This window comes from Homo sapiens, chromosome 17 (genome assembly GCF_000001405.40).
Source record: "Homo sapiens chromosome 17, GRCh38.p14 Primary Assembly".
Taxonomy (NCBI): Eukaryota; Metazoa; Chordata; class Mammalia; order Primates; family Hominidae; genus Homo; species Homo sapiens.
The window spans coordinates 28699945-28718507 of record NC_000017.11 but is presented as its reverse complement, the minus strand read 5'-3'; the positions used below and the strand labels follow the sequence as shown (position 1 = coordinate 28718507).

Below are 18563 nucleotides of genomic sequence, written 5' to 3'. Positions count from 1 at the left end.
CGAAGAGCAGAGTTTCCGGGTCCACTTAGCCCTTCTTTAACCTCCCTCGAGGGAACTTGATCTTCAGCCCTCCCACCTCACAATCTACACAGCAGCCTTGAAGGAAAAGACGCCAGACTTCAGACGTCTCTCTCCTCGGTGGGCACCTCATTCTAACCCTGGCACCCCCTTCGCACGCTTCCCCTCCACCATCCTCACCCCCGACCTCCCAGGGCAGAAGGGCGAGAGGGGGCAGACTCTATGAGTCACCTCCCAGGCCTGGAGTTGAGGAGGGAAGCGCCGCCTCTCCTTGGGCCCCTTCTCTCCCCCTTTCCCCTCCCTGCTGGTTCCTGGCATCGCCAGATGCTGCGCAGCAGTCTCCGATTCCCCATCACCAATTCGGCTGGGTAAGGGTCCCCATGAAGGCGCAGCCGGGTATAGAGGTGCAGGGGAGAGCAGCCTGGGGAGTCCCTATCTGGATAGGCTCCAGCCTGGGTCGGGGCGGTCCTGGTGCCCGGTGAAGCGTCAAAAGAGGGAGCCTGAGCGGGGCAACGCAGAAGGGTGGAGAGGAGGGGGTGGCGAGGGCGGGCAGCGAGGCCTGGAGCCGCCAGGAGAGGGGCGGGGGGCGGCCCTTCTCCAGGAATTTCCGGGGATCGTGTTACAGCGTTGGCGGAGCCCGAGCGGAGTGGGACTCGAGGCCCTGTAGCCGGACTGGGCCCCTCGCCCCCTCCTCCAGCGGCCTGCGGGCCTTGGCAGCGCCGCCCCTGCCCACACTGACCCCGTGTGGCGGGGCCGCTCCGCGCCCCCGGGCCGCTCTGTAATGGTAGGGCAGCCTCAGCCCCGAGATGACGTCGGGTCTCCGCGGCCCCGGGTTATTGTAGGAACCATCCGGCCCCGCGTAATCGTAGGAACTATCCGGCCCCGCGTAATCGTAGGGTCTGCGCGGGCCCGGCCCCCACCAGACGGGACTCCCCGCCCCCAATTGGCGGCCGAAGAGTCTCCTCGCCCCAGAGTCATCTTCGGGACGCCCAGGGCCCGGGTGATTTTGGGCTCGCCGCGGCCCCGGGTGATTGTTTCATCTCCGTGGCCCGCGGTGGTCGTAGCGTCTCCGAGACCGCGGACTCCCGTAGGGTCCCCGTGGCCCCGAGTTGTAGTCGGGACACCCCGGCCGCGGGTGATCGTCGGGTCTCCACGCGCCCGGGTCGCTGACGCGGATCCGGCCTCGGCGCCTTCTCAGGGCGCCCTGCAAGGCCGCAGGCAGGATGAACATTCTGGCACCCGTGCGGAGGGATCGCGTCCTGGCGGAGCTGCCCCAGGTAGGCGCCGGGGCCACGTCGGGCTTCAGTCTACAGCCCGGGGTGTGGGCGAGGAGGAGGCGGCACCAGACCAGTTAGAGGACTGGGCCCAGCCCTGCCACCCAGCTAGGCCTGGTGCTTCTGGGTGGTCCCTGCACTCCACCCCTACCCGGGCCGCTTGGCTGCGGGACAAGGGCCAGGAGTAGGAAGCTCCATTCTCTTCCATCCTTCCCACTAAGTGCCTGAGGAAGGAGGCCGCTTTGCACGGGCACAAAGACTTCCACCCCCGCGTCACCTGCGCCTGCCAGGAGCACCGGACAGGCACCGTGGGGTGAGTTAGGGACACCCACAACAAAGAGAGGAGGTCCCAGGAAACTCTGTAGTCATAGCGAGGGTAAACAACCACCCCCTTGGGGCTTCATTTCAGCCCCTACCAGCTATATGGTTATTTCCCCCTCTTTAAGCCCCTGTATCCCCTCCTTTTCTCCCAACAAGGTTGTTGTGAGTTCTATGAGATGGGGTTGGGTAGAAGGGTGGCAGCTGGATTTCTGAGTAGAGACTAAGGTGTCTGAAATGGGAAGGTGGTCACCTGCTCAGATCCCCACATAGCATCCATGGAGCCCCAGGGCAGGGGTCTGGCTGTGCTTACAGGGATGAGTCTTATTGTGGGTTTTAAAGGTAATACTGATAACAGTTGGCACCATTAATTAAGCATTTGCTGTGTGCCAGGCAGTGTTGGGTACTATCATCTTTATTGAATGGAAAAGTCCATCACTTAAGATATATCCTGATTTCAGACATTAAAATGCGGGGGGGAGGGTGTCTTAGAATATAGGACATTTATCTCATTTTAACCTTCACAACGACCCAGTAAAATATATACTAACTTTACTTAAATGTTTAAACTGAGGCTTAGAGAGGCTAAATAACGTGTCCAAAGTCACACAGCTAATCAGTGTGAGAGCTGGGATTCAAATTCATGTCTCTCTGCTTCTGGAGCACAAAACACTCCTCCTCCCCAGCACACCTGTCCACGCAGCTGCCTGGGATGCCTGGTGTCTATAATACCCTCAGCCTGGGTGCAGCTACCTTTCTGGACCTAGTCGGGAGCATTGGAACTCCCTAGGGTGAAAGAGCTCGTGCCCACTCCCCTTGCCCACTCTTGTGTCCAGCAGATTTAAGATCTCCAAGGTCATTGTGGTGGGGGACCTGTCGGTGGGGAAGACTTGCCTCATTAATAGGTAAGGGGGTGCTGGAGCTGAGCTGGGCAGGGTGGGGCCAAGCCTAGCCAGGTGGGCTGGCTCCAGATCACAGCATCTGGTACCCTCTCAGGTTCTGCAAAGACACCTTTGATAAGAATTACAAGGCCACCATTGGAGTGGACTTCGAGATGGAACGATTTGAGGTGCTGGGCATTCCCTTCAGTTTGCAGCTGTGAGTGCTTCCACACCCCTTCCAGCTATCCCTTCTCCCCAGCACCCACACCCCCCAAGATACATACCTGTGCTTCACTCTTCCTTCCTTCCAGTTGGGATACCGCTGGGCAGGAGAGGTTCAAATGCATTGCATCAACCTACTATAGAGGAGCTCAAGGTAAGGGGCTGGGTGAAGTGGGGTAGGTGGGTCTCAGAGTGCACATGGCTTCTCATATGGAGCTGGAAGGATTGGGGAAATGAGCAGTAGTGTCTTCCCTGTCAACCTGGGGCTGTTTCTGCCACTCTTCCAGCCATCATCATTGTCTTCAACCTGAATGATGTGGCATCTCTGGAACATACCAAGTAAGTGAGCATCCTGCAATATAATGGGAGGCTCCGGGAAGAGAGGGTTCAGAACAGAGGGGTGGTCAGGAAGAAGAAGAATGCATGTAGGACCAGAGAGGGGGTAATTGGGCCTATGAATGTCAGTGGGAGGGGCCCTGCAGACTCACTCATCCCTTACTTTCCACCTCCCATGGCAGGCAGTGGCTGGCCGATGCCCTGAAGGAGAATGACCCTTCCAGTGTGCTTCTCTTCCTTGTAGGTTCCAAGAAGGATCTGAGTGTGAGTGTGCCAGTGGGGGGACTTCCCAGCTTGGTGAGGGAATGCCCCCCTCTGACTCTGGCCTTCCCTCAGACCCCTGCTCAGTATGCGCTGATGGAGAAAGACGCCCTCCAGGTGGCCCAGGAGATGAAGGCTGAGTACTGGGCAGTCTCATCTCTCACTGGTGAGTTGGAGGCTTTAGGGCTCTGCTGTGACACTCTTGCCTGGCTCTCCTCTCACTGCTACACCTCCAGCTGTGCCCTGTGTCCCCAGACCCAGCACTGCCCCTGAGCACCTATCTGCTCTCTGTGTCAGGTGAGAATGTCCGAGAATTCTTCTTCCGTGTGGCAGCACTGACCTTTGAGGCCAATGTGCTGGCTGAGCTGGAGAAATCGGGGGCTCGACGCATTGGGGATGTTGTCCGTGAGTGCTTGCCTGGTTGAGGGTGGCAGAGGGCACAGTGAGCCTCCAATCCCTGCTTCACATATTTTCCACCCTTCTTTAGGCATCAACAGTGATGACAGCAACCTCTACCTAACTGCCAGCAAGAAGAAGCCCACATGTTGCCCATGAGGGCTGAGGAGACTGTTCAGAGACTGCCCAGCCCTAGGGCACTGTGCCACCCTCATTCCTCCAGAGCTTGACCCCTGGACATTTGCACTGACTTTATCCAGACCAAAGAGCTGCCTCTTGGTGGCAGTATTCCCACAGAGGGGTAGCTGGGATCATGCTAGTCACTTCCTGCCCCCAGGCACCGTGCCAAAGACTGGATGCCCCCTACTCCTCAGGGGACTGTCCAGGGCGCCCAGTGGTAGTGAGGGAGAGTGTCTCTGTTCTTTTGCTCAGCCTGCTGGGCCCTTTGTGTTTGAGGATGCTTAATGATTCCAGCCTCTCACTGTGCCTTATGCATTAAAATTTCTTTGTTACGAGCACTTTGGGGCTGGAGTTCTTTGTTGGGGATGATGGATGTGGAATGGGCATGACTGTGTGGCCATTTTGGCACTAGAGTCCCCTGGGGATGCTGTGCTGGCCATCCCTGGCCCCTGGGCAGGTTCAGGTAGGCTGGGAGCTGAAACATCAGTTTGGGGGCTGCACTGGGCCCTCACTGGGTGAAGTCTGAATGGCTGGCTTTGAGAGCCCTTTCCCCTGATCCTTTCCCCACACGTGTCCTCCTACTTGGTGCTTATACCCAAATTTTCACCACTGGAGAATCTTTTTCTTTTTTTCACCCTTTTCTTGCCTTCCCTTTAAGAAGTACTTTTCCAGGCAGGGTGCGGTGGCTCGTGCCTGTAATCTCAGCACTTTGGGAGGCCAAGGCAGGCAGATCACTTGGATTCAGGAGTTCGAGACCAGCCTGGCCAACATGGTGAAACCCGCGTCACCATTAAAATCCAAAAATTAGGCCGGGCGCGGTGGCTCATGCCTGTAATCCCAGCACTTTGGGAGGCTGAGGCGGGCGGATCACGAGGTCAGGAGATAGAGACCATCCTGGCTAACATGGTGAAACTAAAAATGCAAAAAATTAGCCAGGCGTGGTGGCTGGTGCCTGTAGTCCCAGCTACTTGGGAGGCTGAGGCAGGAGAATGGCCTGAACCTGGCAGGCGGAGCTTGCAGTGAGCCGAGATGGCACCACTGCACTCCAGCCTGGGTGACAGAGCGAGACTCTGTCTCATAAAAAAAAATAAATAAAATAAAATACAAAAATTAGCCGGGCGTGGTGGTGCATGCCTGTAACTCCAGCTACTTGGGAGGATGAGGCAGGAGAATTGCTTGAACTCAGGAGTTATAACCATTAACTTTTCTTTCTTTTTTTTTTTTGTTTGTTTTTTTGGTTGTTTATGCCATTAACTTTTATAAGAAAGAAAGGTGACCAAGACCCTGGCTCCCTGTTGACATCTAACCCAGAGTTCCAGAGTAGCTGGAAGCACCTCAGACATCTGGGTCAACAAAGGAGGACTTATGGCCTCGTGTCATCCTGGGAGGCTAAGGGGGTGTCCAAGTTAGAAGGCAGATTCTGGCTCCCAGTTGCCAAGTGCTCTGTCTGTTCCATTCCTGGTTCCATTCTCACCAGGATGGTTGGTTTTTCTGCACACTTCCCTTCTCCTGGCTTCCCCTCCCTCGCAGTTCCTAGACTCTCTAGAGCTACCACGGGAAGGAGGGTCTGGGCAGCAGCCCTACCCACTCCGGACTTGGGTCTGGAGGAAAGTGAAGGTGGGGATCAGGCAGAGCAATAGTAGCAGCAGCAGAGCCCCTGGATGATGGTGGAGAAAACAAGGTGTGGACCCCATCCTTTCTCCTCCTCTTCATCCTGGCTTTGGAAGCTGGTGCCAAGAGAAATGGAGGGGTGTGGTGCATGGAATGTCGTCGATATGGCCATAACTTCTTTTCACACTCTCCTGTGATTGTTTTTTCCATTTCTGTTCCCTCGCAGCACTGGGCTCCTCACCCTTGCCTTGCCTGTTAACAGATGTGTGTGAAGCCAGCACCACAGTCCAGGTGTGGTGTTTGTGCTGCACCGGGTGTGGGAGTTCTGTGTTCCGTGTGCATGTTGTATTAGTCTGTGTGTGGTGAGTATATTCTGTGTGTGTGTGATATATGCATGCGCAGAGTGTGTATGTTGTACCTGAGGGCGTGAGGGGTGTCACTGGGATGAGGTTCCTATGAATGCAGCCTGCCCTGTTCTCCAGATTGTCTATCAGGATAAGCTTACGACTCTCTATTGGGCAGTATTGTCTCTAGAATAGGGTGTCCCCTGGGGGCCAGGGGCGGGAACGCTGCGGGGTGGCGCAGGGGCTGGGAGCCGACATCAGGTCCTCAGCCCGGAGTTAGGTCTTCGGAGAGGCCTGTGGGCGGAGAAAGGGGAAGCCCGGGCTCCACCAGAGGCGGAGGGACCTCGAAGCCCGGAAGGTGGAGGGGAAATGGCGACGCCAGGACCTCCCTGGGCTCAGGGGATCCTCCCATCTCAGCCTCCCGAGTAGCTGGGACTACAAGTGCGCACCACTAAACTAGCTAATTTTTGTATTTTTTGTAGAGATGGGGTTCGCTCTCTCGCCAGCGGGCAGAGGCGGGGCTGCGGCTGGGTTCCCAAGGGTCGGTGGGGCGGGGAGCGGGACGGGAGTGTGCGGTTTAGAGAATGGCCGGGGCGGGGCTAAGAATGGGGCTGGGGGCAAGGCTCGTTGTAACACTAAGAATTGGGGCTACGATCTGGAGGCAGGGTGAAAATCTGGGGTTTGGACTGCAAGCTGGAACCAGAGATGGGTGGTGAGAGCTGGGCCTGTAAGGTTAAGGTCTGAGATAAAGAGGGGCCTGGGAGGCGCCGGAGGCCCCGGATGAAGAACGCGGCTGACGCTGAGACCCAGCTGGGAAGACTACGCAGCCTGGAGCCGGGCTGGGGAGGCCGGCGGGGGCTGCGCCAGCATGAGGCGGGGTTAGGGGCTAGGCGGGGGCGAAGCCGAGACTGGAGTTCACGGCTGGGCCGAGGGCTCGGCCGGGCTGAGGCTCAGGGTTGGACTTCACGCAAGAGTCCTGTAGAGACGAAGACCTGGGCGGAGAGCGATGTGGGTCAGGACGACGCTCACAATTGAAAGATGGACTAAGGAAAAGACCGAGCCCAAGGCCCGCTCGTGGGATGAGAGCAGATGCCGCGGTAAGAGGGGCGGGGCAGGGGCTGGGCAGAGGGCGCGGCCCGGCTCGCAGACCCCGAGCGGCGCACGCGGGAAGCCGGCAAACCGACGAGGGAGACGGGCAAACCAACGAGAGAGGCGGGGCCCAGTGCTGGGCCGGGGCGGAGCTAGGGCCGGGGCGGAGCTAGGGCCGGGGGCGGGCTCGCGTCGAGCCGCGGGCCAATGATTGAGGACTGGGGTCCTGAGGCCCTGCTGGGTCGCCCGCGGGATGGGCGGGAAGTCTGGTTCCAGCCAGAGCTGGAACGCTCGGCTATCGGACTGGGTGGCACCGGGCGCAGGCCGCTGCCCTTGAAGCGCCGGCCTTGGCTGGAGCCCGTGGACCAGCGCCCACCCGGACGCCGGGGCGGGAGCGGGCGGTTCCATCGACCCTGAGGGTGGACCAAGGAGACTGAGGGTTCCACCCGTGGCATCACAATTACCTCCGCGGCGGCGAGGCCAGAGAGGCATTTCCAAGGAGACGCGGGCGCACTGCCCCTCCCTTGCTTCCTCCTCTTCCCTCCTTCCTCTCCTAGTTTCTTCCCTCCCTTCCCGCCCTACTCCTTCCCTCCCTTCCCACCCTACTCCTTTCGGCTGCTCTGGTGCCCACCCCCAGTGCCTCGAGGTCGAGGAGAGCTCCTCGGCCCCGCAGGACGGGGAGGATTCTGTACAGATGAGCATAACTTGTGAGTTTTGAGTTAGGCCTTTGTGCGCCGATTAACGCCTCACGGGGAAAGACGCCATAAGCCTCCCACTTTCTTTCACCCTATCACCCTCCTCATTCATTGTGTGTGTTGTCAGTCACTCCTGCTGCAGGAACTCTGGACTGCTGCTGGTCAGAGGTCTCCTCCTGTCCTCTGGAACTAAAGAGCAGATTGCTTTTCTCAGCTCTGAAGAGAGTTACTAAATTCGTCTCCCCCTTTGTCCTTCCTCCCCTCGTCTCCTTCACAAACAGAGCTGATGGGTGTCCGAGCTCTGGGGGAGCTAGTGAGTGGAGAGTAAACAGGCTCTGACCCTGCATGTGTGCTTTTTTTTTTTTTTTTTTTTTTTGAGATGGAATCTCGCTCTGTCGCCCAGGCTGGAGTGCAGTGGCGCAATATCGGCTCACTGCAAACTCCACCTCCCGGGTTCAAACAATTCTCCTGCCTCAGCCTCCTGAGTAGCTGGGATTACAGGCGCGCGCCACCACGCCCAGCTATTTTTTTTATTTTTTTTTATTTTTAGTAGAGACGGGGTTTCACCATGTTGGTCAGGCTGGTCTTGAACTCCTGACCTCGTGATCCGCCCACCTCGGCCTCCCAAAGTACTGGGATTACAGGCATGAGCCACCGCGCCTGGCCATGTGTGTCTCTTTCATGGTGGCTCCTGAAACAGCAAGGCAGAGGAGTTTTGGTTCCTCACCCTGGCTGAGGTCCCAGCGGCATGACTTTAGGGTCCAGGGTGGATAAGGGAGGCTGTGGAGTCCAGATTGAGTAAAACCAGAGGGTGAGGAATTGGTAGTGTTGGAGCTGAAAAGCAGGTGCAGTAGGAAGTGACTGTGCCTCAAAAAAACACCTGTCCTTCCCGCCGTCTCACTCTGCTGCCCACACTGGAGTGCAGTAGCACGATATCGGCTCACTGCAACCTACACTTCTGGGGTTCAAGCGATTCTCATGCCTTGGCCTCCAGAGCAGCTGGGACTACAGGTATGTGCCACCATGCCTGGCCGATTTTTGGATTTTTATTAGAGAAGGGATTTCACCATGTTGACCATGCTGGTCTCAAACTCCGGACCTCAAGTGATCCGCCCACCTCGGCCTCTCAAAATTCTGAGATTACAGGCATGAGCCACTGCACCCGGCCTGGTAGGACAGGTTTTGCATATGGAGCTGAACGTGATTTATTTTATAAGACAGAATCTCACTCTGTCGCCCAGGCTGGAGTGCTGTGGCTCTCTCAGCTCACTGCAACCTCTGCCTCGCCGGCTCACTCAAGCAGAATGTGGTTTTAAGGCTTGGCTATGGGCCGGGTGCGGTGGCTCACGCCTGTAATCCCAGCACTTTGGGAGGCTGAGGCGGGCGGATCACGAGGTCAGGAGATCAAGACCATCCTGGCTAACACGGTGAAACCCCGTCTCTACTAAAAATACATAAAATTAGCCGGGCATGGTGGTGGGCGTCTGTAGTCCCAGCTCCTCGGGAGGCTGAGGCAGGAGAATGGCGTGAACCCGGGAGGCGGAGCTTGCAGTGAGCCAAGATCCCGCCACTGCACTCCAGCCTGGGCGACACAGCCAGACTCTCTCAAAAGAAAAACAAAACAAAACAAAAAAAAAGGCTTGGCTGTGGAGCTTCACATACAGAATGACCTTTGTTTACAGGGGTGTGTCCCCAGCCAACAGTAAGTAGACAGGGCTGAAAGAGCATAGGCTATGGAACCAGGAAGACCTGGGTTTGAATCCTACTTCTACAGTCTATTAACAATGTATGTTTGGACAAATTACTTATCCTCTCTGAGTTTCTGTGTTCTCATCCATAGAATGGGGCTGTGGTGGGGATTTAGAATCAAAGGCATATATTTTAGTTGAGACAGGGTCTCACTCTGTTGCCCAGGCTGGAATGCAGTGGCGTGATCACGGCTCACTGCGGCCTCGATCTCCCTGGGCTCAGGTAATCCTCCCACCTCAGCCTCCTGAGTAGCTGGGACTACAGGTGTGCACCACTAAGCCAGCTAATTTTTGTATTTTTTGTAGAGATGGGGTTTTGCCATGTTGCCCAGGCTGGTCTCGAACTCCTGGACTTGTGATCTTCCCGCCTCAGACTCCCAAAATGTCGTTTTTTTTTTTTTTTCCTTTTTCTGGAGAACGGGGTCTCGCTATATTGCCCAGGCAGGTCTCGAACTCCTGGGCTCAAGCTATCCTCCCGCCTCTTGCCTCTCTGAGAGCTGGGATTACAGGCGTGAGCCACCGTGCCCGGCCCAGACTCCCAAAATGATGGGATTACAGATTTATGTCATTTCATTGGTGGATGTTGAAAACATGGAAGTTGATGAAGTTATCCAGGACATGCTTTTGTAGAGCCTTCTGAGGAGGTGACCAAGTCAGAACTCTTGTAATCACCAATTTAAGGCATACAACAAAACAAGAGGAGACAGCAAAGGAGACAGGGAAGAACTAAAGAGCTGGTTAGAGAAGGAAGAGAAAGATGAGGTCTGCCATGGAAGCCCAAGGAACAGTTTGCAGAAGAAGGAGATTCATTGGTCAATAGGGTCAAGTGAGGCCGGGCGCAGTGGCTCACGCCTGTAATCCCAACACTTTGGGAGGCCGAGGGCGGATCACAAGGTCAGGAGTTCGAGACCAGCCTGTCCAACATGGTGAAACCCCGTCTCTACTAAAAATACAAAAATTAGCCAGGTGTGGTGGCGTGCACCTGTAATCCCAGCTACTCAGGAGGCTGAGGCAGGAGAATTGCTTGAACCCGGGAGGCGGAGGGTGCAGTAAGCCGAGATCCCACCACTGCACTCCAGCCTGGGCGACAGAGCGAGACTCAATCTCAAAACAAAACAAACAAAAAACAAAACAAAACAAAAAACAGGGTCAAATGAGATAAGAAGCCCACTGGATTTGGCTACTGGGAAACTGCTGGTGGCCTTTGCCAAAGCTATTCAGATTGGGGGGTGGATGGCTGCCATGTTGCAGGTGGCTGGAAGAGAAGAAAGAAGTGAAGACACTGAGCTCACTGAAGGTAGGGACTGGGCCTCTTTTCTAGTGCCGAGGGAAGCCACCCAACATATGTCCTCTGAATGAGTTAATCAATTTGGATTGAAAGGGGGATATGCAGTGGTAGGAGAAACAGGATTGACAGAGTGTTTTGTTTTATGATGTCTATAGCCTGTAAGGGGGGAAAAAAGAAGCCAGTAAAGAAGGAGAAGGTGTCACTTCTGGCTGGGACCTAAAATATAGATGCTTTGGGCATGAGAAAGGAGGGACACCCTTTTCCCAGGCAAGCAAAGTTGATGAGGGTTGGAGTGTCCACAGATAATGGCGGTGAAATTATCTGCTGAGAGAAACAGTGGTTGCAGGAGTTTCCAGGAAGTGCTTAAAGTCATTCATTCATTCTTTTGTTCATTTAACAAATTTTGAGTACTTGCCGTGCTGTGGAAAACAGGAGGAGGAGCTGACCAGAGACTTATAGGAGGATGACCAAGTGCCACTGAAGGCTTGCTGAAGACCCCAAGCAATCAGTTTCCCTTCCTTAAGCAGACCTCAAGTCCAGTGCCTCAAGGGATAAAGCTAGTTGTGGGAAGGAAAGGCAAAGGGGCAGACTGTCTTGTGGCTGCTAATGGCTGAGGGAGCTGCCACCCCAGTTGGAGGTCTGCTTAGGGTCATCCTCTGTCCAGGCTCCACACACCCTGGGACAGTTTCTGGAGCTGTCCCTCCTTGCCTAGACCCTGGCTGGCTCCTATTCATCACTAACTCTAGTGATGCTCCTTCCAAGAAGTCTTCCATAGTCCCCAGTCCTCCTTTCCAGTCCTGGTAGGTGGCCCTTGTCCTGTGCTACCCTTTCCCTGTCAGCATCTGCATCACATTACTGTCATGAACCTCCCGTGTCCCTCTCCCCTCCCCCTCTCCCCTCCCCCTCATAGCCCCACCCCCCCCCCCCCCCCCGCAACCCCTTAAGAGCAGGGACTGTTGTTTAATCTCTGCATCTCCAGGATGCAGCGAGGGCCTGACATGTGGAGTTTCTCGGGGTATGTTTGGTGAATAAATGGCACAGGGAGGGGGCTGCTGCCACCACTGCCACTCTATGCTCTCTCAGATGTAAACAGGTTACCCAGCTGGGAGAGAGGACATCTGCTGGCTGGTGTGGCGTCCAGCACTGATGTGTCTACCTTCTCTGAAGGTGGGTCCAGGAGACCTTTGACCCAGGGGATCCTCATCACCCCTCACCTGGGAAAGCTGACACCTGGTGGAAGCTTGGTCCTGAGGCAGGGAGGGAGGGAAGTGTGGTCCTGAAGCTGCCCCATCCTCAACCCATCCCCTACAGATGCCAGAGGGGACCCCTTTCTCAAGGCCGCAATCACCCCATTCGTTTATATAGAACTTTATGGCACATAAGTATCTTTGACATATGTGAATTGAGTCCGCCCAACAACCCTGCAAAATTGGTATGACCACCATCCCATTTTGTGGATGAGGAAATTAAAGGCTCAGAGAAGTAAAGAAATTTGCCCTAAGCCACCCGGCTAGTAAGTGACAGACCCACGACTTGGGCTTAGGCCTGACTACAAGTTCAGGGCACTTTGCCACTATGCTGCCCTTTGGCCCAGCTCAGCTGTGCTGAGGAAGGCCAAGGTGGTGGTGAAGTTTCAGGGTCCTGCCACATACCCATGCCTTCCTCATCTTCCCGGGGGATAAAGGGTACAAGAGGGGAGGAGAGAGACACAGATCACCCATGGGTCAGCAGTGTAGTGAGGACCCAGGACTTCACAGCCTTGTGTGGGGAAGGGAAGGAGGAAGAAATGTGGGTAAGCCTCAGGCCAAGCTGCTGCACTGTGAGGCCACTTGGACTCACACCCACAGCCTGGGCTCATTCCTGGCTGGTGGCCGGTATGAGGTCTCACCCTAGTTCCACTCCTCGTGGGGGCTGGCAAAGGCACAATCCTCGGCCTGTTTGAGGGTAACCCAGCCACAGCACCCCAAGCCAGTGCCTGCTCCCTCCCTCCCCTAGGAGTGCTGGGGAATCCGAGGTAAGGTCCCTTGTCCTTTGTCGTGTGAGTGAGATTCTGGGCTGTGAGAGGCGCAGAGTCGCCTCATGGGCTTACCTTTGAGATAGAGGCCTGAGGGGACAGCCGGGCCTTAGGCAGTGTCAGAGGTGAGGCAGTGGTGGTAGACCGGGGAAACTCCTGTCTTCAGGACTGGCATTGAGCTGAGCAGCAGAGGTGGGGGCCTTTCTCCAGGGCTTTTCCCTAACCCCAAATTCTCACCCCAGCAGCTTCTTCCTGTGCCCTGGGAAAGGGGATGTGGTCTCTGTGCTGCCTAAAAGGGTGCTTAGGCTGGGGGTGGGTCATTCGAAAGCCTGGGGCTCTAGGGACTGGGGAGAGTGTGGGAAGGTGCTGAGTGAAGAGCAGGGAAAGGATCAAGAAGGGGGCATGGGAAGGGAGGGGAGTGAGAAAGGTGTCAGGCAGGAGAAAAAAAGGGGCTTGAAGGAGAAGGGAGGAGGGGGAAGTGGGGAGGGAAGGACGAGTCAGAAGCTAAGGAGCATGATGCAGGCCTTAGCTCCTGGCCAGGCTGTGAGAGATCAGCGTGGGCCAGGGCAGGTGTAGGAACTGAGGATGCTGCGGCTCTGCTGCTCCTGGGGCTGTGGGGTGCCATAGCAGGAGGGCCTTCTCCTACCAGGCGCCTTGTGGAGCAGGGCTGCCACTCATTGTCAGCACCTGGTTGAGGGGCAGGCAGGAGCTGGTGGAGGCCTCCCACTGGAGGGAGAGGACAGAAGTAACAGGGAATCACAGGACTGCAGGGGGCTTGATAAGGGTCTCCTGTGTATCAGACATGGAACCAGACACTTTGCTGGGACATGGGGTTACTCTGCGGCCAAGTTACTACTACTGAAGCAGAAACACTTCTTGGGGTGGACAGCTGGTGGTGGCAGGTGAATTTGGTGAGGTTTTAGCTTGAGCTGTGGGAAGACCCAGAGGTCTGCGGCTGCTACTGATGACCCAGACTCCTGCCCCCTCAGGTGACTGCAAGGAGCCTGACAAGTGCTGCTGGAGACACAAGCAGTGCACTGGGCACATCATCTACCCTTTCGCCTCTGACTGTGTCCGCCACAGCCTGCACCTACACTCTGTCAACCACTGCAACTGTAATTCTAGGTGAGGGCCCGCCCCCTTGGGGGACCCATGGCAGAGCCAGGTCCGAACTTTCATTGTGGTCTCCCCTTCAACCTTTGGTTTGCCTCTTCAGCTTTGAATTGGTGCTGCCAGCCCAGTCCCAGCTCTGCACACCTTGCTCTGCTCTAAGAGAAATGGGGAGGAGGTCTGTTGGCCTGAGGCAGGCCCAGCGGAAGCCCACTGTCCCTCAGGCTTCTGGCTCTGGGTCCCTGGGGGAGTGATGGGAGCCAGGCTGAGAGTCCCATGTGTGGCAGGCTGAAGGACTCTTCAGAGGATAGCAGCAGCTCCCGGGGCGCGGGCCCAACCTGCTCCCATGTCATCGAGTCCCCTTGCTTTGAGCTCACACCGGAGGAGGAGCATGTGGAGCGATTCCGGTATGGCTGGTGAGTGAGCCCCGGTGGGCTGATGGGGAAGGGGCCTCTACAGGGCACTGCCCCCCACTCTCTGTCAAACTTCCCCCGTTGTCCCTTCTCCCAGGTGCAAAAGCTACAGACCTGTCTCTGTGGCAGTGATCCACCATCCACTCTACCATGAGTGTGGGGCAGATGATCTAAATGAAGAAGAGGAAGAGGAGGAGGAGGAAAGCAAGCCCCCCATCCCGACACAGGTGGGGCCCGCCACCGCCTCCCCTGACCTAGGCACCAGCATGGCCACTGGTACCCCTGACTCCACAGCGCCCATCACCATCTGGCGCTCTGAGAGCCCCACAGGGAAGGGTCAGGGCAGCAAGGTGATCAAGAAGGTAAAGAAGAAAAAGGAAAAAGAGAAAGACAAGGAGGAGATGGATGAGAAGGCAAAGCTGAAGAAAAAAGCCAAGAAAGGCCAGTTGACTAAGAAGAAAAGCCCGGTTAAATTGGAGCCTTCCCCGCCAGACGTGAGCCGATCATTAAGCGCAAGACAGCTGGCCAGGATGTCCGAGTCCAGCCCAGAAAGCCGGGAAGAGCTGGAGAGCGAGGACAGTTACAATGGCCGGGGGCAGGGAGAACTGTCCAGCGAGGATATTGTGGAATCATCATCGCCCAGGAAGAGAGAGAACACAGTCCAGGCCAAAAAGACAGGGGCAAAGCCCTCACAAGCCAGGAAGGTAAACAAGAGAAAATCTCCCCCAGGATCAAACCCCAACCTCAGTTGAGGCCAGGGTGGTCAGGGTGCAGAATAAATGCCATCGAGCCTGTGGCTGGCCCTCTGCTGCTGTTCTCTCCCTCCAACCTGGCTGTTTCTTGCGGGGCAAGGGGTGGGCTCAGGGCTGCAGGGGTTTCTCAAAGGCAATCCAGCTTTCACAAAGGAAGCCCATGGGAAGGCAGGTGGGAGGGAAAGGAAGGGGCACAGCCCTATTTCTTCCTACCTGCTAGGACAAGGTGGAAGAGTGTATCTGGGGTGGGAAGGAGGGCTTCCCCTCTCTGCTGCGAGAGACTGGTCTGTGTGAAATCCACTTCTGGGACAGGCAGTACTGTCTGCAGCGATACCCCCAATAAACGGAACTTTTTAACCCACTCTGTGCCACTGTGCCTGGCCTTTCCCTCCTCTAAGTGGCTCTGCAGAAGGTGCTCGTGGTACTACCAGAGACTGACCTTCCCAGCTGGTGGTCTAGCTCCTCCCTTGTAGCCCTTTTGTGCTGAAGGGAGCTGACTTGAGTTCCTGGCAGAGCTGGCCCCTTCCCCCAGATCTTGATGAAGAAAAACAAGGGGAGGGAGTGTGCCACGTCTGGGCAGCAGTGGCCTTTTCTGACTTCTCTGCTGAGCCCCAAGCAAAGGAAAGGGAGCCAGAGGCCCCACTCTCCCAGCATTGACTCACAGAGCTGTGAGACGAAGCCCTTGTGCAGAAACAGGGATGGCAGGAGTTCAGAACAAAAAATGCAGTGGGGCAGGGACAAAGGGCCAGGGCCAGTGTGTTGGAGGGGAGCAGGTGAGCAGGGCCCCATCCTGGGGCAGGAACACCTTACTGCTGAGAGCTTGCAAGAGACCAAGGCCCAGCTGGGAAAAGGGAAGAGATGAACGGCAGAGGCTCAAGTTGAGAAATCCAGATTTACTTGTGGCCTTTCTCCAGGGTGCCAGAGAAGACCAGCAGGCATGGGCGGATGGGGCAGCTGTGCTGTGGGTGAGTGAGTGGGTGTAATAATACCGGGTAACATTTGCGACGTACCAGGCGTTGGGCCAAGGAGCTTGCACACGCTGCCTTGGTCCTCACAGCAGCTGATGAGGCAGGTATCACTATCTCCATGTTACAGGTAAGAAAGCCAGCTGAAAGGCAGCAGGAACTGGCACAGGGTCACCCGGCTGGGAAGTAGAGCAGGGATGTGCCCCAGGCAGTCTGATGTAGAAGCTGCCTCTAGTCTATGAATCTTTGCCTCTGATGGATCAGAAGAGGGAGTCAGGGGAGTCCTTGGAGCTCCAAACACTGCTTTGAAAGCCACCCCTCAAAGAGCTGGAGAGTTGGAGAGAGAGGCTTTGGCAAGAGCTCAATAGAAACACTGTTTATTCAAATGACAGGCAGGAAGCGGTGGCAGCAGCAGGGGGGAAAGGGCAGCCAGGCAGGGGCTGGGCAGTGCTTCCCTGTGTCCCCTGCAATCCTGCTTGGACAGCCACCCGGCTGTTGGCATCAGGGTCAGAAATACTTTCCCTCCTCTCCCTCCTGCCCCAAACTGAATAAATAGCATCCCTCTCCCCACGAGAGCTAGGGGAGACTCATGTGCTGAGTTTGGTGCCCCAGTCACAGCCCAGAGTCCGGTGAGGGCAGAAGTTCAAAATGGCTTGTAGGGAGTAGAATACAAAACTGTTCTACTCATTCTCACCTTCCTCTTCCTCCTCCCTGCCACACTCCCCTCCCAGCCTGGTCCCAGGACAGGTGGTCGGTGAGGGTCTGGAGCGGGAGAATTGTTGCCTAGCATACACTGAGCTCAAGTTCACAAGGCCATCCAGCCTGTCACCCATCCGGGTTGACCACCAAAGAGAACGTCTCACTTCACGCCACTTTATGGACATAAAAGGAGGGGCAGGGAGGGAGGCAGTGGGCAGCCAGGCCTTTCCCAGCCTCAGAGGTAACCAGAGTCCGAGGAGCAGGCCCCCTACCGATCCATCTCGTCCAGGAGTGGGGTGGCATCGCCAGCAATGGACATGGGGGTGCTTTCGATCATGGGGCTGGGGGAGGGCCGAGGTGTCAGCCGCTGCTTCTGTTTCCGCCGTTCTGCCTCCTTTTCCTGCAGCCACTGCTCCGCCATTTTTCCCCAGTCGATGGCTGCATGGCTGTTGGACCTGGGAGGGGAAGAAAAGTTGAGATTGGGACTTTGCTAGAAGGAAGTCTTCCCACCAATCACTGTACCCTTGCAGAAAGGAACCTCATACCTATGGGCAGCAGCCCCTCTACTGGGATAAGGCAGATACAGCAGCAGCTGGCTGCCATACTGCCCTCTTCCGTCTTCACCCAGAAACTAGTGTTCCTGGCATATCATGTGGTCAGGGCCCTCAGAGGATCCAGAGCACCTGCCTCTGCTAAGCCTTTCGGCCTCTTGACAACACCTGCCCCTACCACTGACCTGCACTGTGCCACCATCCAGATACTTACTTTGGCTGCTGCTGCCGTTGCCGGGAGCTGGAAGAGGGCTGGGGCTGGGCCTGGGCCGACTGTGGGGTGGTGCTGGCCTGGAGCTGGTGGTACTGAGGGGTGGTGATGGGCTGGCTTGGGGTCGTGTAGGAGTAGCTAGGGGTCATTAGTGGTGTGGCCACTGGCTGCTGGGCTGGCGTTGGGAATACCTGGAGAGGCATGAACAGTTAAATAGGGATGGGTGTGGGGCTTGTTTGGCCTTGCTGTGAATTCTGGGTAAGCGCAAGGGTGGGCTCAGCAAAGCTTTCCAGATGATCTTCCACTGAGTATGTGCTTCTGACCAGCAGTGGGAAGCCTGCAGGTCAGCACCGAGCACACAGTGGTGCCCACTGGTCCTGACCATGTCAACTTTCTGGTGGCTTGCGGGTTCCAAAGATCCCAAAGGCCCGTGGAAAGGTTATGCCCTCTCTTACCCTCTTCCCCTTCAAATGGGCCTAAGGACAAGAAATATCTGTTGGAGACAGTTACCAAGGCCGTGGCAGCCCCATCTGTGCATGTGAAGCCCCTTGTGGGCAATGCGAGAGGGCAGTCTATGGGCCCCACCCTGCACAGGGAGCTTCCTCCCCAAGCCACATACGTGGTAAGCACTGCTGCCGCCTCCACTGCCGCCATAGCCGTACTGGCTGGAGGCCCACTGGGCTGGGGTGGCATTAGGGTTCTGTCCTTGGCCTGTCACCGCAGCAATGGCACTGAACATCTGTGAAGTCATGTTCTGAGGCAGGGCATTCACAGCCCGTGTCAGATCTGTAAGCACACAGAGGTGGGGAGGGGCATGTTAGAGGTGAAAGTCCCTTTAGCTCCATCCTTCCCACCTCCAGTCCCAGGCTCAAGCTCCTCACCTGCAAGGTTGATGTTGGCTGGGGTAGCATTGATAGAGGCAGGTGTCCGGGTCCTGCTGCTGCTGCTAGGGGTGATGCCTGCAGGAAGTGATTATTTAGTTACATCCCTCCAGAAACCTATTTTTGGTTTCCCAATTCAGGGGGTGGAAGGGGCACTGAAGTAGGTAGAGGGAGGAAGGGAAGCTGCATAGGCACAGTGGATGGAGAACCTTCCTGGTGCTGGGAGGCTGCAGGAGGAGTAAGACAGCTGCAGTGACAGCCTACTCCTCACCTGGTCCCCTAGGCTGGGACTACTCTGAGTCAGGT

The 18563-nt window shown here is 56.4% G+C and overlaps 3 protein-coding genes across 53 annotated transcripts in view, besides 6 other annotated features; 2 read left to right on the top strand and 1 right to left on the bottom strand.

The window, feature by feature from the left end:
• Positions 1–79: 79 nt before the first annotated feature.
• RAB34 (RAB34, member RAS oncogene family) lies at positions 80–4227 on the top strand. 25 transcript variants are annotated; one of them, XM_047436885.1, is made up of 11 exons: positions 80–138; positions 1217–1295; positions 1514–1605; positions 2450–2515; positions 2607–2708; positions 2803–2867; positions 3001–3052; positions 3232–3289; positions 3386–3476; positions 3608–3715; positions 3798–4227. In XM_047436885.1, the coding sequence occupies exons 2-11, from the start codon at positions 1242–1244 to the stop codon at positions 3863–3865; spliced, it is 756 nt and encodes a 251-aa protein (XP_047292841.1). In that variant the 5' UTR covers positions 80–138; positions 1217–1241; the 3' UTR covers positions 3866–4227. The 25 variants fall into 25 exon arrangements, with proteins under 25 accessions (XP_047292841.1, XP_024306752.1, XP_047292839.1 ...); XM_024450984.2 differs by having other exon boundaries at positions 3232–3313; XM_047436883.1 differs by having other exon boundaries at positions 2447–2515.
• Positions 548–807: a silencer, noted in NCBI's record as "silent region_8349". NCBI's record gives its function as "represses an Ori minimal core promoter by ATAC-STARR-seq in GM12878 lymphoblastoid cells {active_cell/tissue: GM12878}" and the evidence as "EXISTENCE:reporter gene assay evidence [ECO:0000049][PMID:35858748]".
• Positions 5766–5845: an enhancer, noted in NCBI's record as "active region_11936". NCBI's record gives its function as "activates an Ori minimal core promoter by ATAC-STARR-seq in GM12878 lymphoblastoid cells {active_cell/tissue: GM12878}" and the evidence as "EXISTENCE:reporter gene assay evidence [ECO:0000049][PMID:35858748]".
• Positions 6404–7179: an enhancer, noted in NCBI's record as "H3K27ac-H3K4me1 hESC enhancer chr17:27038347-27039122 (GRCh37/hg19 assembly coordinates)". NCBI's record gives its function as "activates a minimal SCP1, AML or CMV promoter by ChIP-STARR-seq in primed H9 embryonic stem cells {active_cell/tissue: H9 hESC(primed)}" and the evidence as "EXISTENCE:reporter gene assay evidence [ECO:0000049][PMID:30033119]".
• Positions 6404–7955: a biological region, named in NCBI's record as "H3K27ac-H3K4me1 hESC enhancers GRCh37_chr17:27037571-27038346 and GRCh37_chr17:27038347-27039122".
• On the top strand, positions 6620–15311 carry PROCA1 (protein interacting with cyclin A1). Of its 15 annotated transcripts, XM_047435474.1 has the most exons (6): positions 7209–7637; positions 10625–10670; positions 11070–11461; positions 11745–11828; positions 13892–14201; positions 14296–15311. In XM_047435474.1, the coding sequence occupies exons 5-6, from the start codon at positions 14062–14064 to the stop codon at positions 14948–14950; spliced, it is 795 nt and encodes a 264-aa protein (XP_047291430.1). In that variant the 5' UTR covers positions 7209–7637; positions 10625–10670; positions 11070–11461; positions 11745–11828; positions 13892–14061; the 3' UTR covers positions 14951–15311. The 15 variants fall into 15 exon arrangements, with proteins under 15 accessions (XP_006721786.1, NP_001353230.1, NP_001291882.1 ...); XM_006721723.4 differs by lacking the exons at positions 7209–7637; positions 10625–10670; positions 11070–11461 and adding exons at positions 6620–6938; positions 13665–13800 and having other exon boundaries at positions 14073–14192; NM_001366301.1 differs by lacking the exons at positions 7209–7637; positions 10625–10670; positions 11070–11461 and adding exons at positions 6620–6938; positions 13665–13800 and having other exon boundaries at positions 14073–14201.
• Positions 6886–7385: a silencer, noted in NCBI's record as "silent region_8348". NCBI's record gives its function as "represses an Ori minimal core promoter by ATAC-STARR-seq in GM12878 lymphoblastoid cells {active_cell/tissue: GM12878}" and the evidence as "EXISTENCE:reporter gene assay evidence [ECO:0000049][PMID:35858748]".
• Positions 7180–7955: an enhancer, noted in NCBI's record as "H3K27ac-H3K4me1 hESC enhancer chr17:27037571-27038346 (GRCh37/hg19 assembly coordinates)". NCBI's record gives its function as "activates a minimal SCP1, AML or CMV promoter by ChIP-STARR-seq in naive H9 embryonic stem cells {active_cell/tissue: H9 hESC(naive)}" and the evidence as "EXISTENCE:reporter gene assay evidence [ECO:0000049][PMID:30033119]".
• A 517-nt stretch (positions 15312–15828) lies between the features above and the next one.
• The window catches only part of SUPT6H (SPT6 homolog, histone chaperone and transcription elongation factor), a 40475-nt gene continuing 37740 nt past the window's right edge, over positions 15829–18563 (bottom strand). For all 13 annotated transcript variants that reach the window (XM_047436596.1, XM_047436604.1, XM_047436601.1 and 10 more), the window contains 4 exons: positions 18258–18335; positions 17996–18162; positions 17380–17567; positions 15829–17069 (listed from right to left, as the gene is read on the bottom strand). In XM_047436596.1, the coding sequence (XP_047292552.1) occupies positions 16883–17069; positions 17380–17567; positions 17996–18162; positions 18258–18335 (620 nt within the window). In that variant the 3' untranslated portion in view covers positions 15829–16882. The remainder of the gene's footprint in view (positions 17070–17379; positions 17568–17995; positions 18163–18257; positions 18336–18563) is intronic.

Coding starts and splice junctions, on each gene's coding strand:
- RAB34 (XM_024450973.2), top strand. CDS start 241: ATGAGTCACCTCCCAGGCCTGGAGTTGAGGAGGGAAGCGCCGCCTCTC. Junction 2,709..2,802: donor ATTCCCTTCAGTTTGCAGCT/GTGAGTGCTTCC, acceptor CCTTCCTTCCAG/TTGGGATACCGCTGGGCAGG. Junction 3,053..3,231: donor GCATCTCTGGAACATACCAA/GTAAGTGAGCAT, acceptor CTCCCATGGCAG/GCAGTGGCTGGCCGATGCCC.
- PROCA1 (NM_001366301.1), top strand. CDS start 6,848: ATGTGGGTCAGGACGACGCTCACAATTGAAAGATGGACTAAGGAAAAG. Junction 11,829..13,664: donor TGTGTCTACCTTCTCTGAAG/GTGGGTCCAGGA, acceptor CTGCCCCCTCAG/GTGACTGCAAGGAGCCTGAC. Junction 14,202..14,295: donor GAGCGATTCCGGTATGGCTG/GTGAGTGAGCCC, acceptor CCCTTCTCCCAG/GTGCAAAAGCTACAGACCTG.